This window comes from Homo sapiens, chromosome 11 (genome assembly GCF_000001405.40).
Source record: "Homo sapiens chromosome 11, GRCh38.p14 Primary Assembly".
Taxonomy (NCBI): domain Eukaryota; kingdom Metazoa; phylum Chordata; class Mammalia; order Primates; family Hominidae; genus Homo; species Homo sapiens.
Genome location: NC_000011.10, coordinates 41,694,473 through 41,717,870, shown reverse-complemented (window position 1 = coordinate 41,717,870; position 23,398 = coordinate 41,694,473). Strand labels below are relative to the sequence as shown.

Sequence of the window (23,398 nt, the reverse complement as noted above, 5' to 3'; positions counted from 1 at the left end):
GAATAGACCCCTGCTTTCAACCAACGGCATTCCAAAGTTAACCGTGTGAACCTAAAAGTATCTGAAACTCAATCAATTTATAAGGTTTATCTTGCCAAGTTTAAGGATGCACCAGAGACACAGTCTCAGGACGTCCTGATGCCAAAGGTGGTTGGGGTGCAGCTTGATTTTATACATTTTAGGGAGACATGAGACATCAATCAATATGTGAATGATATACCTTGGTTTGGTTTGAGAGGGCAGGACAAGTTCAAATTCGGGAGGGGGCTTTCAAGCCATAGGTAGATAAGAGACAAACTTGCATTTTTTATTTTTGAGTCTCTGGTTAGCCTTTAACTAAATACACAATTTACATTTGAGTGAAAGGTAAAGGAATAGTCATTTATGCCTTGGTCTGGTTTAGTATAACAATAGGGCAAAAGAAGCAATCAGATATCTGTCTCAGGTGGGAAGAGGGATGACTTTGAGGTCTGTCTGTCCTTTGTCCATAAGGAATTTCCTTGTGGGCAAATTTTGAGGGAAGCATGTGGCTTTAAAAAAAATCTTTGTAGCTCTTTTATTTAGGAATAAAATGAAAGGCAGGTTTGCCTGTTGCAGTTCCCAGCTTGACTTTACCCTTTGGCTTAGTGATTTGGGGGTCCCAAGATGTGTTTTCCTTTCACAACCTGAAAACTAGTTCAGGCTGTTACAGGTAGTTAGATAGGGATGAGTGGGGCAGGAGAGGGCTCTTTCTCCACCTGCTAGAAATGTCAGGTGATGGTTTGACAATTATCAGACTGCCTCTCTAAAAATGAAAATTTGGCAGCCCACCCAGGGCCAGGCAGAGGCCATTTCCTGATGATCCACAGCTATTAACATTAAAGTGTTAATTGAAAGCAGATGCCAGGGAGAAAAAGCTTCCTGGGCATGCGCACTAAGAGACAAAATGGTGAGATATGACCTTCCTGGTACAGTCCGCTGGAAAAAGAGAAGAAAGCCTCGGATGGGCATGAGTGCAACTTTCTAAATACAGTGTGCAGTGATCAGTTCCCAAGGGTAAGAAGGGCACTGGGCATGCAGGAAACCCACCCTAGGGGTAGAATCATGGGAACTAGGCAAACCTATAAAGCTCTGGGATCAAGGTTAAACGTTCTCTTTGTCCTTCAGGCGCCCTCTTGGATGTCTTCCAAGTAAGCTTTCCTTTCTTTCCTGTTCTAAAGCCTTTTTTTTTTTTTTTTTTTTTTTTTTGAGATGGAGTTTGGCTTTTGTTGCCCAGGCTAGAGTGCAATGGCGCAATCTCGGCTCACCACAACCTCCGCCTCCCGGGTTCAAGCAATTTTCCTGCCTCAGCCTCCTGAGTAGCTGGGATTACAAGTATGTGCCACCATGCCCGGCTAATTTTGTGTTTTCAATAGAGATGGGGTTTCTCCATGTTGGTCAGGCTGGTCTCAAACTCCAGACCTCAGGTGATCCATCCGCCTCGGCCTCCCAAAGTGCTGGGATTACAGGCGTGAGCCACTGTGCCCGGCCTTAAATCCTTTTTAAATAAACTTCCACTCCTGCTCTGAAACTTGCCTCGGTCTCATTTTCTGCTTTATGCCCCTCCGTCAAAGTCTTTCTTCTGAGGAGGCAAGAAGTTGCTGTGGACCCATGCAGATTCACCACTGGTAACTTGGGGTAACTCAGATACCTATCACCAGTAACAAGGCCATGATGGAAAAGGGGAGTCGGACATGCCTCATTATACTCTCCTGTCTTTTGGAATTCAGGCACAGATGACCAGCATTAACACTGAAATAGATGTGAAGACTGATAAAGTAGACTCTTTGAAGCAATAAAACACCAAATTCTAGCCTGACTCTAGCATAGCATCAAATGCCAGATAGCAGGCCCTGAAAGAAATTGAAGTATTTTACCCCAAATTATATTTTTCTGACATATATTGAAATGGCCTGGCAAAGCTGTCTCTTGTGAGAAAAATCTACATTCTATAGAGAATCCCCATTAGTTCATTGCTTTCTTTTCCCTGATCCAGGAGAGTCAACTCTGATACGAAACATTGACAATCTATTTTCTCTGAAGCCTGCTACCTGGAGGCTTCCTCTGCATAATGGGAATCTTGGTCTCTGCAACTCCTTATCTTAACCCAAACATTCCCCTCTATTGATTCTACATCTTTAGACAATAACTTACCTCTTTCAACCAATTACCAGTCAAAATCTTTGAATCTCTCCGTGAACTGGAAACACCCCTCACTTAGAGTTGTCCTTCCTTTCCAGACTGAACTGGTGTACATTTTACATTTTACATGTATTGATTGATGTCTTATGTCTCCCTAAAATTTATAAAACCAAGCTGTAGTCTGACCACCTTGGGCATGTATTCTAGGAATCTTTTAAGGCTGGTCACTCATATTTGGCTCATAATAAATCTCTTCTTTTTTCTTTTTATGGAGACTGAGTCTCGTTCTGTCGCCCAGGCAGTGGTGCAATCTCAGCTCACTGCAAGCTCCACCTCCCGGGTTCAAGTGATCCTCCTGCCTCAGCCTCCCGAGTAGCTGGGACTACAGATCTGTGCCACCAAACCCAGCTAATTTTTGTATTTTTAGTAGAGACAGGGTTTCAGTATGTTGGCCAGGATGGTCTCGATCTCTTGACCTCGTGATCCTTCCGCCTCGGCCTCCTAAAATGCTGAGATTACAGGTGTCAGCCACCACGCCCAGCCTAAATCTCTTCAAATATTTTGCAGAGTTTGACTCTTTCCATTGATACCATATACCTAAGAGAACTTACGACAAGACATTGTACTCATGTCTTTTTGGCAGTGTCAACTGTGAACTCCTTAAGGGTTTCCTACCTCTGGTCCCTTTGTCCCAGGCCCCACTGACAATCTCCAGGTTACTATGTTGCAGCCACAAGATAAGCATGTGTTAACTCTTTGTTAAGTAAATGAATAAATTAAAGGATGAGGTGAATATTAGGAGATAAATGAGACTGAGGGAGTATGTGCAGCAAGTATATTTTCATCAGCATAAATCAGATGTTCAATAAAAGTAAATCTCCTTATGTTCTCTTGCTGCTGTCTTCTAATTAGAGTTCTCTCCTCAGATAATGTCAAGAATTTAAAGTTGTCAATTAAAAGATAATGTCATCTCTTCTGAGCTAAAAGAGTCTCCTTTGTTTATATGCTTAGTTTTATGGTTTTTTTTCTCCCATTCCCTCCCCTTTTGCTTCCATTTGAGTAGATGGTTCTTACAAGGAGAAAATCCAGAAACTATCAATTGGCTACCTTGATGTGATCCTCTTCATGAGGAAGCTTGGACTTCTCCCTGCTTCACAGATGGGTTACGAGATAGTCCAGAGAAGCTGCATTCTAAGAAGCATTATGACCTGTCTTCTTAGAAACAACACGGCATCACTTTTACCACATTCTTTTGGTCACAAGGAGAGGGAATTACACATCACCTGATTTTGGATGCATGTGTGAGGTAAGGCTTAAAATTAAGTCCCAAGCTGATGTGGAACTGTAGCATAATAAATATATTTGGTCTTTGTTGCTGGTTTGTGGTACAGAGTTCTTGAAACTCTAGGAATTTCCTGAATGATAGGAATGTCTTTTGTTATTCATATGGTGGCCTACTTAATGACACTTTATTTTATGCTAGTGAATTGCCTTAAGATGGGGTCCCCAGATAGCATCAGGATGGGGGTGGTCACCAGAAACACCAAGAAATCAAAGCGTTGGAACATTAAGTTCTACCCACATAACTTTAGAGAAGAATGTAGGGAGAGGAGTTGAAGATTAAGCTCTATAAAGAAATGTGTAAACAATGAGCCTTGATGAGCTTCCAGGTTGGTGAATACATTCATGTGAAGGGGAGAGAGGAGAGTCACTCCTACCCTAACTCAACAGAGAGGTTCCTGGGCTCAGGACACCTCCAGACCTTGCCCTATGTATCCCTTCATCTGGCTATTTATGTGTATTTTTTATTGTATTCTTTCTAATAAACTGGTAGACATGAATAAAGTGTTTCCCTGAGTTCTATGAGCAATTGTAGTAAATTATCGAACCTGAGGGAGGGTTGTTGGAACCCCCAATTTAATGCCAGTCGGTCAGAAATAGCATAGCGAAGATGTGAACTTGTAATTGGAATCTGAAATTACAGGAGTCTTGCGAGACTGAGCCCTTAATTTGTGGGATCTGATGATAACTCTAGGTAGAGAGTATCAAAATTAAATTGAATTATAGGACACTCTCCTGGTGTCGGAGAATTGGTCAGTGTTGGAAAAAAAGCAGTATACATCTGATGTCAGAAATAGTGTAGAAAAAAATAAATAACCTTTGTTTTCTGAAATGTCTTGGTATCTGGTGAAATTCAGAAATCCTTGAATAGAGTAATTACAAGTTTCTCTCAGTACTCTGCTTCCACGCATAAGGTCTTCAAACCAAACAACCCTCCTTATCAAGAAGACTAGGCAGTTTCTGCTGAGCAAAGTGTTTCAGTTGCCCACTAGCCTGCAGAATTATTTAAACAAGCGAATCACATCCTCCTGAAGGAACTGAGATCACATCATCTTCTTGGTACTACAAAGACTGCCTTTCAAAGCCCCTCATTTTTCACTCTGTTCCCAAGGGCAACCCCCATTTGGCAGCGCATGGCATGTGGTATCCTCCTTCCCCAGGCTGTGAGTTCATGTGTCTAATAAATTGCTATTGATTTCATGTGTCCAGTGTTACGTGTTGTATGTTCAGACATCTCCATAACCAGTAGGTAGAAATCCCAGATTAACCCTAGGGGGTGATTGAGACAGCATTGCAAAATCACACTGTGCACACCATGTTAGATGTAGGAGGAAATATATTGTTGCAGTCATCTTTGGAAAATAAAATCCCCATTGATATTATTCCCTCTTCAAAACGGGATAGGAGAACCTCTCTAATATACCCTCAGTGAATTTAGAGGCCATCAAGAAAATTACGTTACTCAGCATTAAGTCTTATCTTTATCACTAAACTGCTTTGGATGGATAATCTCTATTCCAAAGCACCATTTTTGGCACTATAGTACCCATCTTGAAAGATGAAGAGTGTGGGAGATTTATTTATAATTTATGTACTTATTTATTTTTTATTTTTTATTTTGAGACAGAGTCTCACTCTGTCACCCAGGATGGGGTACAGTGGTACAATCTTGGCTCACTGCAACCTCCGCCTCCTGTTTAAGCAGTTCTCTGCCTCAGCCTTCCGAGTAGCTGGGATTACAGGCGCCTGCCACCATGCCCGGCTAATTTTTGTATTTTTAGAAGAGACAGGGTTTCACCATCTTGGCCAGGATGGTCTTGAACTCCTGACCTCGTGATCTACCCACCTCAGCCTCCCAACATTCTGGGATTACAGGTATGAGCCACCACGCCTGACCCATTTATTCTTTATTCTAGGTATGCTACTGTACTCACAAGACATCTGAAACTATACCCAGATCATCTAGAAGTGAACATGTTCCAGGTGATGTCCCTATGTAAACCAAGGGTTGGTTTTCAGTGGTAAGTTTTCACTTAGGCTTAGTCTGTTTCAATTACAGATTTTAAAGTCTTCTCTTCTGTGGCATCTTGGCTGTTTCAGGTATATTTGGAGATTTTTTATTTTTTTATTTTTATTTTTTAATGATGGGGTCTCTGTCACTCAGGCTAGAGTGCACTGGCACAATCATGGCTCACTGCAGCCTCAAACTCCTGGGATCAATTCATCTTCCCACCTCAGCCTTCCGAGCAGCTAGGACTACAGGTGTGTGCCACTATACCCTGCTAATTAAAAAAACTTTTTTTTTTTTTTTTTTTGAGACAGGGCCTTGCTCTGTTTGCTGTGTTGCCCAGGCTGGTCTTAAACTCCTGGACTCAAGTATTCCTCATGCCTCAGCCTCCCAAAATGCTGGAATTATAGGCATGAGCCACTGCACCCAGACTATTTGGAGGTGTTAATAAGTGTTCTGTGCTGTTAAATGGGGCATGTTTCTATGGATCAGTTTGGAAGGGAATCATCAGAGACTTAGAGCAAGAATGGGTGTCACTTGTACTGAAAAACTCATGGATGTCTTGCAGGCAGCTACAGAATGAAGACAGCTGCATGCTAAAAAGCTAGTACGGCACATGTGTGGCTAAAATTATAACCATTGATTAACAACCATGCAAATTTCTGACCATGGCAATGTTAATGGAAAAACAAAACACAATCAGATATTTTAAAGGGATTTATTCTGAGCCAATATGAGTCACCACAGCCAGAAAAGACAAAGTCTCCAAGAGTCCTAAGGAAATGCACCTGAGGTGGTTAGATTACAGTTTGGTTTCATACCTTTCAGGGAAGCAGAAGTAACAGGCAAAGACATAAATCAATACATGGAAAATATATGCCCGTTTGCTCCGGAAAGCTGGGATATCTTGAAGCAAGGGCTTATAGGTTGCTTTTAATGGCAAAAACCACAATTACTTTTGCACTAACCAGATATATGTGTATTTTATTATATGTATTATATATGTGTGTATATACTATGTATATATGTATGTATATATGTTTATATGTGTGTGTATATGTGTGTATGCATGTGTGTATATATGTATGTTTGTGTATATATGTGTATATATGCATGTATATGTGTGTGTATATATGTATGTGTGTATATCTGTATGTGCATATATCTGTATGTGTATATGTGTGTATATATATTCATGTATGTGTGTATATGTGTGTATTTATGTGTGTATGTATGTGTATATATGTGTATATATGTATGCATGTGTGTGTATGTGTGTGTATATATATGTATGTATGTGTGTATATATATGTATGTATGTGTGTGTGTATATATGTATGTATGTGTGTGTGCATATATATATTTGTGCAGTCCCCTTAAACCCCAAGATCTACTCTCATGTCCTAGGTGTCCAAGATCATGCCCATTGGTATTTCAGTCTCCTATCTCTTTCCAGAATAATTGATTCTCATTTCAGTCACTTAGGGTATAATTGTTTATTTTCTTTTTTCACTTATTGTGAAGGCATATACTCTATATCTTATTTCTTATGGGCTTTCTTTTCTGTTTTTCAATAGACTTCTCTTTTTTCAGAACTACCTGCCTCATGAAAATCAATTCCATTGACTTTCAAAGCTATTATTTCTTACAAGGCCTGTGAGAGTCCACATTAGAAATCAAAAAATATATTTCTCATTGCGTTAGGAATTAGTGATTTAATTCTTCTTGAGTTTTATCACTGTATCTAGTACATAAATGCTCAATAAATATCACTTATTATAAGTTGTTATTTTTTTAACTGATGAAGGATCAAACAAGTATTTAAGAATAGGGGCAAAGTATAAACTCAGGCCTATTGGTTCTAAATCCAGCAATCATCTAAACAAACAAACAAAAAGCTCTTTAAAAAGGATCAATTTGTCAAAAGTATGCTTCATGAGCTAGAAGAAATAGAGAATGGAAGAAAACTCTTCATATGTTTCCTAAAAAGAGATGTAAGTGTGGAATGAATAAATAAATGTTTCTTAATGTAGAAAAAATACTAAGGATAATGTTCAGTGAGTAAACATAGACGAGGTAATAGTATAAACATTTTAGACTCACATGACAGAAAGCAGGTCTCAATTACAGATTATCACAGCTAAATAATAGATGCTGGATTTTAAAGTTTTGGTTTAAAAAATGTGGCATAAAGATAAATATCAGACTGGGAAATACTGCAAGAAAAACTATATAATGGGCTTATTAATTAAATGTACATAATTTAAATATAATTCTATAAATCATTATTCATCTAGCCCAGGATGTTTGATATTGATCTTGTTGGAAACTGAAAATAAGCCTCTTTCTGGGCCATTGTTTCAGAAGTCTTTGGCTAGACTCAATACCACAGCTACACTACTTCCAAAAAAAAAAACAGGAGAGAACACAGTAGTTGTTAGAGAAAAATCACTGTTCTGTAGTCACCCCCAAAATATTTCCAGCTGAGGAGCACACATATTTATACGCACACATATTTATACACACACATATTTATACACACACATAAAAATCGGTGGCTCATGCCTATAATCCCAGCACTTTGGGAGGCCAAGGCAGGTGGATCACGAGGTCAGGAGGTCAAGACCATCCTAGCTAACATGGTGAAACCCCGTCTCTACTAAAAACACAAAAAAGAATTAGCTGGGTGTGGTGGCATACACCTGTAGTCCCAGCTCCTAGGGAGGCTGAGGCAAGAGAATCGCTTGAACCGGGAAGTGGAGGTTGCAGTGAGCCAAGATTGTGCCACTGTACTCCAGTCTGGGGAACACAGCGAGACAGCATCTCAAAAAAAAAAAAAAAAAAAAAAAAAAGGCTTTATTACAGGCACATCAGCTCTTACTCTCATAAACATGTAACAAATGAAGAACTGGAGGGAGGAACTGTAAAAAGAGAAGCAAAGGGGAAAAAGATGAGAGAGAGGGCAGAGGAAAAGAGAGGAAAAAAAGTAAAGAGAGATAGGAAAAGATTGAGATTAAATGATGATTTAGGAAAATCTCCTCAAAAAAAAAAAAATCTCAATTTTGGGTATCAGAACTTCCTAAATTACACGATTCATTTATTTACATGAATGTCTCCTCTCCCCTACTAGAATACAAGCTCCGTGGAACCAAGCAGTAGCTTTGCTAGGTTGACTTTTATAACTTCCTTAATGTGTTATATGGAATGTGTACTTAATAAATTGAATGAGAGATTGAATAAATAATTGATTATTAATGAATACATTAAAAAAGCAATAGATTAGACACCCAAAATAATGAACTTTCTTAACAGAAATGATTACGTAGCAGGGATAGTCATACAAGTAAGACTGAGGCTTCTTAGGTGTGTTCTGAATACCTTCTGCAAAGTTCTCCAGCTCAAAAAGTAACGACCCCACTGCCTATCAAAAACCCTGAAGTTTTCTATTAGAATTCATTGCTTTGGCCTCAAGGGCTTTTTTTGCCTTTAAGTGTTGTCTGTTAAATTACAGATGTCTCCGGGATATATAAAATGTGGAGCTATTATCAGATGAACCTCAGGAGGGATTAGTTGATGGCTGGTTTGGGTGAAGGTATGTGCCCAGGAAGAAAAAGGAGAAAAGGAAAGGACCTAGATTAAAGGAAAGTTTAATACATCAGGTGTTTTATGTATGCTATCTCCTTTAATCCTAAAACAAACAAACAAATCCACACTGTGCCATAGCTATTATTATGTCAATTTTTACTGAGAGGAGTCAAGGTTATAGAGGTTAAATTGCTAGCCTGAGATAATTCAGCCAAAAAGGAGAAGAGCTGGAATTTGAACAGAGATTAGTCAGATTCCTTCTTTTCATCAGGTAGTGCCCACTGACAAAGGCCAGGAGAAAATTTTAGGTCCTGAAAAGCAGTAATTTATATTCAGAGTGGGAAATATTGTGGTATTTTCTGGCTTCTTTTTCTGAAAGGCAACTAACCATTTATATTAGTTCACTGGGACTGCCATAACAAAGTACACCAAACGGGATGGCTTAAAATCATGTAAATTATCATCTCACGGTTCGAAAGGTTAGATTTCCAAAATATAGGTGTGTCAAGGCCATGCTCCCTCTGAAGCCTCCAGGGAAGGATTTTTTCCTGCCTCTTCCAGCTTCCAATAGCCCCAGGAGTTCCTTGATTTGTGGCAGCACAACTTCAATATCTGCCTCTATCTACACATCTTCTCTCTGTCTGTGTCTGTTTGGGTCTTCACATGGTGTTTCTTTCCCTGTGTATCTGTTTTCTCTTCTTATAGGGACACCAATCACATTAGATTAGGATCAGCCCTAATTAAATATGACCTAATTTTAGCCAGATTACATCAGCAAAGAACCTGTGTCCAAATAAGGTCACATTCACAGGTACGGAGCTTAGGATTTCAACACAACTTCTTGGGGGACACATTTCAACCCATACATAATTTATATCACTTGATTTATTCTGGAAATACAATATATAAAAACATACTTTCACCAAATGGATCATTTCAAAGAAAAGAAGAGAAAGGATGAAATCAAATAGAAAGAAAGGTTAGCGTTTGTTTCTCTTGAAAATGTTATTTGATTGTCTTGTTGGAAGCAAGGGTCTCCTGCATTTGCATTCACTCTAAACAAAAAGTTCCAGAGGGATTAGTGAAAAGCTTGGCTATGTGTACTATATGAATAAAATGTTGAGCAAGTGCTTCTTGGCTGTATTTCCAAGCAAAGCAACTCAATATATTACCATTTTGGAGATGAGACTGCTTCAAATGAGATTACCTCTGCATTGAATCTCGGTTGCTGTTGGAGGTTATTTATCCTTTCAAATGACCAACATATTTGCAAGACCCTCTAGAGTGATTGACTTTCTATTGCGCGCTTGCTGTTTTCTTATTTGTAGTAAGAAAAGACTTTAATAATCACAGCTGGAGCAGAAGCACTTTCAGTCTTAGGAGGACTTAAGACTCCTTGAACTTTATTTTGGAGTTTAGTTCATTTTTTGTTTGTTCCTGAATTTGTGATACAGAGGTTTCAAAGGCTCTGCCAATCCTGGCTTTAGTATTTTAGGGACAAATAATTTACACTTGATATCTTTGGGGTATAAATTTGAGGGAATAAGCAATACAGGAGCTATTTGCCCAGTATTCCTTTAGATAAGTAATTGGTCACAGCAATGGAGCAGTTTCAAAGAGATCTCTCTGTAGGCTCAGCACGCTGTCCCCATTCTGCCACACCTTTCTCTGCATCAGTCTTTATTTCTACAGCTGACACTGGAAAAGACTCTGGAAGGTCTGTCTCCTAACCGAAATATGCTCTTGGTATTTCCTTGCAGAATGCCTTGCTTTACTGCCTCTTTTAACAGACCCTTTCTGTGAGCAAATGGCATCTACTTCCATAGAAGTGTCTGCAAAGTGGGGAATGAATGTGGCTTGTCAGCACGTCTTGGGGTCAGAAGATTAGAGTGAGATCTTCCCAGGATTATTAGAATTCCATCTGTAATACTGCCTGCTATGGAGGGCAAATGAGCACCCTTGAAAGGGACAGTAATTGAATGAATTCACACATAAACCTAAACACACACACATGCACACACACGCAGTTAGCACTGCCTAGTACTTAACTTTGATTTAATTCATGTTCTATTGCTCACTTTTAATTGCATCACTCCATTCAAGAGGTACAAACAGAGGCAAGGCACATTCCAGGCGCTCATGAAGCTCACAATGCAATACAAGAAATACGACAGACAGGTACATGTCCTTAAAGGAGATAGGGCACAGACCCAGAAGTCTTCATCATTTCTCTCAGCTTGACTAAACTTTAGCCAGACTTCTTTTTCACTCTAGGTCTCTGAACTTGCCCTCATTCTGGTCCTTGCAGAATCCAGATGGCCTAAACACCGAGATCTCCTCTCTCCCTTTTATTAGAGCATTTACTTTAGAAAACTTGTAACTCTAAATTCATTTTCTGCCTCTTTATGATGTAAATCTTTAAAAAGTGTTTTTGCAGCCAGGTGCAGTGAATAATATTTTATATATATAGTACACATAGCCAAGCTTTTCACTAATCCCTCTGGAACCATCCTGGCCAACATGGTGAAAACCCGTCTCTAAAAATACAAAAATTAGCTGGGCTTGGTGGCGCGTGCTTGTAGTCCCAGCTACTCAGGAGGCTGAGGCAGGAGAATTGCTTGAGCCCAGGAGACAGAGATTGCAGTGAGCTGAGACCACGCCACTGTACTCCAGCCTGGTGACAGAGTGAGACTGTCTCAAAAAAAAAAGTGTTTTTGCTAGTTTTACAAACCAAAATTATCTTTCTCAAGGACCTGGGAGCCACCTTTTGAAATGTAATCATTAAGGAAAATACAACCCCAATCTCCCAATGTCTGTGGAAGGGTAGGAGCTTAACTTAGGTGGGTACTTTGCTCCAAGTTGTAAAATTACCTCCTGTCATGAAGATAGAAGAAAGTTTACTTTTTCTTTGGGTAAGGCCAATTAACAAACACAGGTTACCTGTGATTTAAGGACCCCCTCACCAAACAATATCTCAGATCTTAAAAACTCACCTGCCCTTTCTTTGAGCAGAGTTTAGACTACATTCAGGTTTCCCCCCTCTATTGTACTGGTTTTCAATTATATTCTTTCTTCCTGTTTAATTTTTTCCAGTGCAATTTTTGCTTTCACAGCACTAAGATACATACTCTGGAAAGTTCCACATCAGAATAATATACCTCTTGTTGGGAAAGTCATGGATGGTTTCAAAACAGTGGAAAAACATAAGTGAAATCTTTGGATTTTAATGAGTAGTATTTTCAAAAGGAAAAGCAAGAAAAAAATAAGCAAATATGAGAAGTAAAATTTACCAGCTGGTCAAAAATCAACTTGAAACGTGATTTTCACCCAATTATTAAAGCTAAGTCTTGAGTTTCTAGTCATTCACAATGGATGGATGCATGATGACTGTGACTATTAGAATTCCACGGGTGCAAGGCTCTCAGGCTCTCCTGCTTTTCTCATGATTCCTCTGTACCTCTCAGTCTGACCATCTCTTTATTTATTTGCCCTTTATTCTTTCTTCTGTCCCTCCCCTATCTTTATCTCTCTACATGTAGTCTCTTCCTTTGTACCCCTCAGCCTTTCTTTCCACCCCATTTTCTTCTCTTTCAAAAAAAGGAAACTGGAACAGAGAGAGGAAGCTAAGCTCACAGGCATCTCTCAGTCACTGCTCTTTAAAAAGGGTGAAAAATACAGAGCAGAGAAGCCAGAGGCCTTGGGACACTGAAGGGCAGAGTGAAGTAGAGAGAAAAAAAGGTAGCAGTTTCAAATTAAGATAATTCAAAAGGTGTGTAAAAGGATATTATTTTAATGTTGTCAATAGAATATAGGAAAACCACTCAGAATAGTGCAATACCACAGAACGACTATTCCAGAGCAGAAAGCTAACCCTATTTTTTCAAGAGTAAGGAGAGGAAGAAGTGTTTGGAACGTGTAGATGAAAAGCTGTGTGGAAAGTCACCCAACAGGAGCCATGGCTTTTCATTTGTGGATGGGGCCAGTCATAGCTACTACATTGGAAAAAAATATTTCAACCTTTTGATCCTCCTTTCTTTCATTTTCGTGTTGGTATTTCCCATTGGCCTAACTCTTCTGAAAGACAGAAATCAAGAGAGGCCATCAATGCCATCCCTTTGGGTCAGTCTTGAGGCAGCGAGGTGAATGGAGAAGGGAAACTTCTTGGTTTATAGGAATATCAAGGAATTGAAAACCCAGAGAGGGTGGGGGACACTAAGGAGCTGAGAAAAAGAAGATAAAGGACAGAAAGAAAACTGAAGTATGGAGGTAAGAGAAGCAGAAGGGCAGAGATTTCTGAATGTGGAGTTCTGACTCTCTGCAGTCCTCCTAGAATCTGCCAAACCATTAAATAAAAATTCCCATAAACATTATAAATAGAAGCAATGAAGAAGTAAGCCTTTAGGGAAATCAGTATCTTTGGTGGATTTGGCAAATTGTCATTGACAAATGATCTTTTGGCAAATGGAATAGGCTTTCAATAAATTGATTTTCCTTAAATCGGACTGCTTCCAAGAAAAATTATTTAATTAGAGAACTTTGCAGAACATTAGGTTTGGTTTGGCTGAATATGTAGTATCTGATAGGAAATATTGCTGTATTATAGAGATTGGAGCTCATATCAGTCAAGAGGCTATCAACCTCTAAGTGTCTAACCCACTCACAGCCTCACCACCATGATAAGAGCTGATTGATCCAAAGATAACTGTAGACTTAATGTAATTTAATTAACAATAATAGCTAACATATATTGAGTATATGCTATATGCCAGGTGCTATACTAAATGCTGTACACAGATTTTCTTTTCACTTAACTGTCATAATAACCTGTGTTGGTTATTGTCATTTGGCCTCCTTCTACCCCAGATTCATTCTCTACCTTGTTCTGTTGCCCACATGATTGATTTCTCCAGATTTCATCCCTTTACCTGACATTTGGTCGGGTTTTATTGATGAGAAACACTCATAGGAGATGGGAGAATGAAAGAAGGGTTCAGACATGTAAGCTTACCTATGTGTATCCTGCTCCCTCCTGACCTCACTATCAAAATTTCTGGCAGTGGCTGAGTCAATTCTTGTGATGTGACCCCTTTTCCAAACATTCAAGCTTTCAACCCAACTCTGGTAGCAACATCCCTTTAAAGCCAAAATGGACAATGCAGTGGTAAATGAAGACTTGTCGCTATCTTTAGTCTCTGGGTACTTGACTATTCTTTATTGCTGCCATTAACCTTGAATACATCTTCTGTAAATAGGCACTTTATTAACTTTTTTTGAGTGTGAAATTTACTTCCTGCCAAGAGCATGAGAGATACCATAACTCAATAAGAAAGATATCATATAGGTCTTATTTTATTTTATTATTTTTATTTTATTATTATTATTATTTTGAGATGGAGTCTCACTCTTGTCACCCAGGCTGGAGTACGATGGTGTGATCTCAGTTCACTGCAACCTCCATCCCCCACGTCAAGCGATTCTCTTTCCTCAGCCTCCTGAGTAGTTGGGATTACAGGTGCCTACCACCACGCCTGGCTAATTTTTGTATTTTTTAGTAGAGATGGGGTTTCACCATGTTGGCCAGGCTAGTCTTGAACTCCTGGCCTCAGGTAATCCGCCCACCTCGGCCTCCCAAAGTGCTGGGATTACAGGCGTGAGCCACTGCATTTGGCCCCAGGTCTTATTTTATATATGAGAAAATTAACAGAAGTATAAGGTATTTCTTACAAGGCTACACTGCTAATAAGTAATATGGCTAAAATTTAATGATAAGTAAGTGTAAGTAGTCTCCCGAATCTTCTATAATAATTATTATCCTGTATTTCTTTTCAATAACTGGGTTTTGAAGTATGAGGTTCACCACTATTCTACATGGATCTCAACTGTCAAAATCTGAACTCTCTGATATGGTAGCCACCAGCCACATGTATCTACTCAGTAATGGAAAAGTAGTTAGTGCCACATGTTGAAATGATAATGTTTTAGATGTAATTTAGATATAATATTATATCTGTTTTTTCTCCCTTTTAAAGAAATGTGTCTACTAAGTTTTAAAAATTACATATGTGGCTTGCATTATATTTGCATTAGGTAATTGAAAAGGTCACCCACTGGCCTTTGAGATGGCTTGGCATAAGGAGCTCTCTCAGTGTGAATAGTCCAAAGTGGCAGAAATTTGCTCAACTAGATTTTATCTCAGAGGGTTTTGTGTGCCTGACATACAGAGCATAGCAGAATTCAGGGGCATAGGTAAAAGTCAAAAGACACACAGAGGGAAGATAGCAGGTATGAGAGGAGCAGTTGTGATTTATCAGATCCAGGAACAAGCATAAACTTATGCAGTAGAGAGAATACAGGCAACTTAGTTGATGGAGTAGAAATAGATGTGGAGAGGAGTTAGTTCCAAAATGATTAAATGGTATTGTAATGAAGGATTGAAGAACTTCTTATTATCAATAAGAGAAAAGAAATGTCTTGTTAAAATAATCAATTGCATTGTTCACAAAAGCATATTCTGGTTGTCTATGAAGGCTGCCCTTTCATGAAGTCAACACTTTCTGTCACATATTACTTCCAATATATCCTCATTGTCAAGCCTCAGTGATTAAATGGCCCTCATTACTTGTTCTTCTGTCTCAAAGAGCCTAAATAATCCAGAACCATACAATGGAAGGACTTCAGTAGAATGGCCTATGATTGGACATGGTGGTACAAGTTTAAGAGTCCCCACAACCATGACTTCTGACACTAATGAAAAGTTCTGTGGTTCCCAAGAACCCCTTTACTTCTGACACCAATTACAAGTTTAGGGTTCCTAAAAATCACCTTCAAGTTTGATAATTTGTTAAATGAACTCTTACAACTCATTGAAAGCTGTTATACTCAGTTATAGCTCAGTACAGCAAAAGGATACAGATTAAAATCAGATAAAGATAGAAGAACATAGGGCAGGGTCCTGGAGAGTTCTGAGAATGGAGCTTCCAATTGTCTTCTCCCTGTGGAATTGTGCAGATAGTGCTTACTTTGCCCAGCAATAATGTGTGATGATACATATGGAGCACTGAGTACAACCAACTCAAGCGTTGATATCTAGAATTTTTAACGGGGGCTTGGTCACATTGACAAAATTGACTTCTGACATGACTACCCTTAGCCTCCAGCATCTGCAGATGTTGAGCTGACAAGCATGGCCCAAGGCCTCCCCACATAAATCATGTTGTAGCATTAGACTATCTAGTGTGACCCAAGGCTTTTAGGTAAACAAAGACACTCTTATCAGGCAGGACATATCTAGGGTTTAGAGATGATCTTTTAGGAGCCTTAAGGAAGGGCCAAACAATTCTCTGGGCAAAGTCAATCTTTACTACACAGAGGATCTTGATTTCAATGATCTATGATGAAGAGCCTTGAATGCAATGACATCTCTCTGCCCAAACATTGGTAGGCACTGGGGGATCTATTGAATAAATGCCTTTTATTCAGTGCCAATATAGATATGAGAAGAAAGAAATGCATTTAACCTGCTGCATTTTCTTCTATTGATTTTCTTTTCCCTTCTATTTTTATCCTATTTTTATTACCCCTCCTCTTTTTTTTCTGTTTTCTCATCGTTGATGCCACATTTCCTTAGTAACCTAAACTGTTTGTGATGACCCAGTAGTTTATGCAGAACAAATACTATTCTTCCTCTTTCTTGCAGAATATCAGAAAATGCTGTAATCTTGTACTTTTGACTGATACTATAGAGAGAGGCAATATGACCTTTGTAATACATACGTTTTCCAATTTATATTGGTGGATTTCTTTTCTAATAAAAGCAGTTTCTCTCCTACAAAGATTTATGTCATCTCAAGAGATGGTAAAATCTATCTCTCCATTACTATAGTATGTTATCAAGAATATTATCCAATTATGAAACCACTTTTGCAAAAAAATATAACAGTGAAAGAAATCTAGCATGGCTGACTCCATATTGCTTCTATCCCCACAAGCTGGCTATCCTTGCTCATTTCTGGGTGTGGGCCAAGTTAACCATGGGAGTAATTTAGTTTATTGTTTAACTTTGAAGCAAGGATAATAATAATCTCTCCCTAAAATTGACTTCCTTTTAGTTTGGGGACTGAAATCACCTTTGTAAAACTAATAAAAAAACACAACATTAGGATTATGTCAAGGGCCTTGATATGGTTTGGCTGTGTCCCCACCCAAATCTCATCTCAAATTGTAGCTCCCATAATTTCCACATGTCATGGGACGGACCTGGTGGTAGGTAATTGAATCATGGGGGCAGGTCTTTCCCATGCCCTTCTCATGATAGAGAATAAGTCTCACGAGATCTGATGGTCTTATGAAGAGGAGTTCCCCTACATAAACTTTCTCCTGGCTGCCAACATGTAAGATGTCCCTTTGCTCTTTCTTAATTTTCTACCATGATTGTGAGGCCTCCCTAGCCATGTGGAACTATGAGTCCATCAAACCTCTTTTTCTTTATAAATTACCTAGCCTTGGGTACGTATGTATTAGCAGTGTGAAAACAGACTAATACAGGCCTGAATTCTTCTAAGATGTAGGCACAGTTAAAGAATAACTAGCCATTGATTTTCTATAATCCCTTACAACTCAGGAGTCATGTGGCCATAGGTCAAAATGTTTGTGATTTCCTCAATTGCTCCTATAGATAACATCACTATTGTAGAATCTACGATTGGTCTTTTGAAATGTTTTTCAGCCTTTTGCATTCTGGTGACTGACTGTCTCCACCCAGGCCGGTGACTCATTACTCAACTAGTCCTGTGGCCCCCACCCATAGGCTACTTTGTGCACAAGGACCATTCTCGACAGCTCTATGATTTTTATCTCCAATCAGAAGCACCCATTCCCTAGCCCCTTCTTGCCAAATTATTCATAGAAACTCTAGTTCATGGTGAATTCTTGGTGAGGCTGATTTGAGTAGTAAACTCCTGTACTTCTGCTCCACTAGCTTTCTGTTAATTTAACCGTTTCTTTACTATAATACCACCATCTCCATGAGTTAGTTTTGTCTGTGCAGCAGGCAAGAAGGACCTGTCAGGCAATCACAATCACAGGGAGGACTATTCAGTGGGAGATAATCTTTTAAATTCATGTTATTCAGCATGAGATAATCTTTTAAATTCATGTTCTTTTAATTTTTAGGCACAAGATATTTTGCTATGAGTCAAAGGTGTCTCCCAAACCCCAAATTTTAGAGGCAATAGAAAAGATGGCAACCAAAGAAGTTTCCTACAACCTACATAGCAAATAAAAGGAAGAAAAAAAAACATCAGCTCTACCCTATCACAAATGGAGCCTGTAACACATTCTAAGATAAAATGTAGTAGACTATCACCAGGAATTATAGATAATAAGAAGGAGAAACAAACAAAAACAAAGGAGTGTATAATAATAAAAACCTAACAATAAGGCTGACTGAAATAAGCTCTGCATTGCCAAACTGTATTCCACTGGAGGAGCCCCCATTTGAAGTTTTCTCATCTCTTTATACTTCCTTCCTCTTGAAGCTATAAAGCCTCATGCAATATAGTAGTAATTACTGCTGTGCATTAATCTTTTATACCCCATTACTTCCCAGTCACCAGATAGGATTATATTTCTTAGAATCCCTTGTTTGGCTGGGGCAAGTGACAGTCCTGGCCAAAGAGTAATGAGCAGAAGAAATGTGCGTCACTTCCATTAGAATAATTTAATTGTTCATGCAAAGACTCTCCAGAACTTTCTCTTTTCTTTATGACAACTTTTGATTTCCAGACAGTGGTTTTTCCCTGAGAATGAAATGTAATGACAATGAGCAGCGTGAGTGCCCAGCCAGTCAGAGATTGACACGCAATATAAGTGAGGTATAAACCACTGTTGTTTTAAGTCAATGATATTTGGTGATATTAACACAGCATAACCTGGCCCATTCTCACCTATACGTGCAGCTATGAGAAATGATAAGCAAAGTCAGCCTAGCAATGATTATAAATAAAATTATCTTCTTTCCCTAAGCTTTGACCCTGAAGAATGGTAGTCTAAAACTGAACCCTATCTTCATTACAGATTTAAACCTCTGAAAATGGTTAATTAAATTGTGTTGTCTGGGCATGGTTGCTCAAGCCTGTAATCCTAGCATTTTGGGAGGCCAAGTCAGTTGGATCACTTGAAGCCAGGAGTTTGAGACCAGCCTGGCCAACATTTTTACCATCTCTACTGAAAATACAAAAATTAGGTGAGTGTGTTGGCACATGCCTGTAATCCCAGCTCTTGGGAGGCTGAGGCATGAGAATCACTTGAACTTGAGTGGCAGAAGTTGCAGTGAGCTGAGATCATACCACTGCATTCCAGCTTGGGCAAAAGAGTGAAACTCTGTCCTAAATAATAATAACAATAATACTAAATAAATGGTGTTCACTGTAGTTCATAGTGAAAAATGTAAATCACATCTCATTCAAATGGACCCAAAATAAAGATAGCTCTAAAATTGCATCATTCTGTACATTGCTAATGACTATTGAAAGATGTGGAAATATGATCAATACATCAATTTGAAACATTTCAAGTATTCGGGAAAGAGTGCTATTTAAGGTGAATATCAGTGTTACTGGATTTTTACATTTTCCATAGAATGGGTGTGGATGGGATTGCAGCATTGCCCATCTTTCTTCCAGCAGCTCTGCTCTACCACTACCTGTATTCCATACCAGATGTGGACTTTATTTTACATACGCTAATTTCCTTGAAATATAATTTCAAAATATATTTTAAACTAATCTAGTGTTTGACTTATTTTTTTATACTTTTGACCTGTTACAAGTTAAGAGTTAAGGTGGCAGAAAATAAACTTGGCAAATAACCATTCTTTTACTCATTTCGTCATTGGTCTTTGATGGCAGGATCCTTATACTTAGAAGCTCGTGTATAAACCTGGAAAGACAACTAGGAGAAAGATGATAATGTGACCACAAATGATACACAAAATTTAATTCCAGAAATGTTTAGAGTGCCATCAAAACTTTATGCAGGAAGAATTATGTGTGTGTGCAAACTGAGATGTGGTTAGATCCAAGGGCCTTTAATATGAATTGATCAACAAGAAAGAATTTATGAAGCTCCTGTGCCATTTGACCTCAGTAAATGGGGGTGCCCTTTTAACCACTGTAGTCATCTCGATGAAATATTTAAATAGCTATATATATATATATTTTATGCTGTCAAATTTAGAAGGCTTCTGTTACCACAGTTACTCCATTTGTAGATGCCAGGGAAAAATATGCATATGCATTATTGCTAAAACAGGTCTCTTTTAAGGTTTCCGAGGTTTCAATATTGTGACCCCAAATCAGACAAATGAATAATAATGAAAAACTGTAGATAAAGCAGGTGAGCTTTGAAACATGCTACATGATTAATGGTAAAATTAATGGGACTGGTAGAAAATGTAATCATTAAGTGACTGTCTAGTGGCCCAGAGATCAGACTATACACGTATTATCATGTCCTTTGACAGTACTATCCCAAACTCCTGGCCTCAAGTGATCCTCTCACCTCTGCCTCCCGAAGCTCTGGGATTATAGGCTGAGCCACGGTTCCCAGCCTTTGACAACACTAGAAACCCACCTTGCATAAATAAAGCAATTATTATAAGCATATGGGCAAGAAAACCATAGAATAATTATTGTTGCAAGCTTTCTCATCAGAGACAGAGGTCCCAGCCTCAGCACTGTCATTTTCTAATACTAAGGCATTACGCCATTTTGTTTATTCAACATATATTTATTAAGAACCTATAATGTATTGGAGTTTTCGTAATGGGCACTGGGCATACTTGGTGGAACCAAGCAAACAAACAAGCAAGAAGCATATATAACTCCTGCCCTCACTAAGCTTATAGACTAAGATAGGGGAGGCAGAAATCAAAGAATCATCAAATAAGTGAACAGTCTCATTTGTGAAAAACATTACCAAGGACAGTATATTAGAGGAGGAATTGACCTAGTCAGACTCTCTTCTGCACATTGAGTGATATTTATACACGTATCTTAGGATTACTGTGAAGATTAAGAGAAAAATATATATTAACAGCTCACATAAAATAAGAACTGTACAAATTTTCCCTGTTTTCTCTATTCTTCTAAATGCAGGTGAATGCAGTGCATTAATTTCCAGATAATTTTTCTTGCTTATTGCAGGATTCTGAAGTGTTATGAATGGTCTTTATTAGGAGGAAATGCTAATGGGCATGTTTTCCCTTTTTTTTTTTTTTTTTTGAGACAGAGTTTCGCTTTTGTTGCCCAGGCTGGAGTGCAATGGCGTGACCTTGGCGCAACCTGTCTTCTGGGTTCAAGCAATTCTCTGTGTCAGCCTCCAAAGTAGCTGGGATTACAGGCATGTGCCACTACACCTGGCTAATTTTGTGTTTTTAGAGGAGTCGGGGTTTCTCCATGTTGGTCAGGCTGTTCTCAAACTCTCGACCTCAGGTGATCCACCTGCCTAGACCTCCCAAGGTGCTGGGATTACAGGCATGAGCCACTGCGTCCGGCCCCAAAACTGTGTTTTAAAAAATTTTATAGTCATTTGGGTATATACCCAGTAATGGGATGGCTGGGTCAAATGGTATTTCTAGTTCTAGATCCCTGAGGAATCGCCACACTGACTTCCACAATGGTTGAACTAGTTTACAGTCCCACCAACAGTGTAAAAGTGTTCCTGTTTCTCCACATCCTCTCCAGCACCTGTTGTTTCCTGACTTTTTAATGATTGCCATTCTAACTGGTGTGAGATGGTATCTCATTGTGGTTTTGATTTGCATTTCTCTGATGGCCAGTGATGCTGAGCATTTTTTCATGTGTTTTTTGGCTGCATAAATGTCTTCTTTTGAGAAGTGTCTGTTCATGTCCTTCGCCCACTTTTTGATGGGGTTGTTTGTTTTTTTCTTGTAAATTTGTTTGAGTTCATTGTAGATTCTGGATATTAGCCCTTTGTCAGATGAGTAGGTTGCGAAAATTTTCTCCCATTTTGTAGGTTGCCTGTTCACTCTGATGGTAGTTTCTTTTGCTGTGCAGAAGCTCTTTAGTTTAATTAGATCCCATTTGTCAATTTTGGCTTTTGTTGCCATTGCTTTTGGTGTTTTGGACATGAAGTCCTTGCCCATGCCTATGTCCTGAATGGTAATGCCTAGGTTTTCTTACACATGCACACGTATGTTTATTGTGGCATTATTCACAATAGCAAAGACTTGGAACCAACCCAAATGTCCAACAATGATAGACTGGATTAAGAAAATGTGGCACATATACACCACGGAATACTATGCAGCCATAAAAAATGATGAGTTCATGTCCTTTGTAGGGACATGGATGAAATTGGAAATCATCATTCTCAGTAAACTATCGCAAGAACAAAAAACCAAACACCGCATATTCTCACTCATAGGTGGGAATTGAACAATGAGATCACATGGACACAGGAAGGGGAATATCACACTCTGGGGACTATGGTGGGGTGGGGGGAGGGGGGAGGGATAGCATTGGGAGATATACCTAATGCTAGATGACGAGTTAGTGGGTGCAGCGCACCAGCATGGCACATGTATACATATGTAACTAACCTGCACAATGTGCACATGTACCCTAAAACTTAAAGTATAATAAAAAAATAAAAATAAAAATAAAAAAATAAAAAAAAAAATTTAATCAGAAGGTCACCATTTGGCAAACTCATTTTTCTATTCTCTTATAAAGCACAATGAGATCTTGCCTTAAAACATACTTAAGATAAAAGAATCTTGAAAGTTGTCACGAATACATTTTGCAAATGCAATATCCAAGACAATAGAAAAACTTTATAATAAATTTCAGTATAGAGAGAGGGAAATTGCAACTGTGTCAAAAATATAAGAAATAAAACTGTGAAAGATGAACTGAACCTCAGTGGTAGAAACAGAATTTTCATTTAGGCCTTATCTAGTTCTCTTTGAGGTGAATGAATAATGAAACATGGGGAAATTAGAAAATTTAATAACCCACTTTTTAAGAATTCACAGATGTTTCTTGAGAAATCTATCAGAATTTTTTTAAAACCTGCCTTCTTAAAGAGATCTTTTAATTTTGGAATAGGGTAGGGCACACATCATGTTGGTGTAACAATCACATTATGAAAACACAGCTAGAATGCTGATGGGTGGGGGTAATACTTGGGAGACACAATGAAATTTAATGTTCTTGGTTTGGGGAAGAGACAACACTACCTATATATCATAACGCCTTGCCTCTTACACGGTAATAAAAATAG

General features: G+C 38.7%; 2 long non-coding RNA genes across 3 annotated transcripts in view, besides 1 other annotated feature; one reads left to right on the top strand and one right to left on the bottom strand.

The window, feature by feature from the left end:
• Nucleotides 1–3,303, bottom strand: part of LINC01499 (long intergenic non-protein coding RNA 1499) — a 121,875-nt gene extending 118,572 nt beyond the window's left edge. Inside the window, exon 1 of the long non-coding RNA NR_120584.1 lies at nt 3,268–3,303. This is a non-coding gene — a long non-coding RNA (long intergenic non-protein coding RNA 1499). The remainder of the gene's footprint in view (nt 1–3,267) is intronic.
• Nucleotides 3,327–4,069: an enhancer, noted in NCBI's record as "OCT4-NANOG hESC enhancer chr11:41735352-41736094 (GRCh37/hg19 assembly coordinates)". NCBI's record gives its function as "activates a minimal SCP1, AML or CMV promoter by ChIP-STARR-seq in naive H9 embryonic stem cells {active_cell/tissue: H9 hESC(naive)}" and the evidence as "EXISTENCE:reporter gene assay evidence [ECO:0000049][PMID:30033119]".
• Nucleotides 3,335–23,398, top strand: part of LINC02741 (long intergenic non-protein coding RNA 2741) — a 125,191-nt gene continuing 105,127 nt past the window's right edge. The window contains exons 1-2 of one of the 2 annotated variants that reach the window (XR_001748196.2): nt 3,335–3,466; nt 5,418–5,522. This is a non-coding gene — a long non-coding RNA (long intergenic non-protein coding RNA 2741). The remainder of the gene's footprint in view (nt 3,467–5,417; nt 5,523–23,398) is intronic. The other variant, XR_931218.3, reaches the window with a different exon arrangement.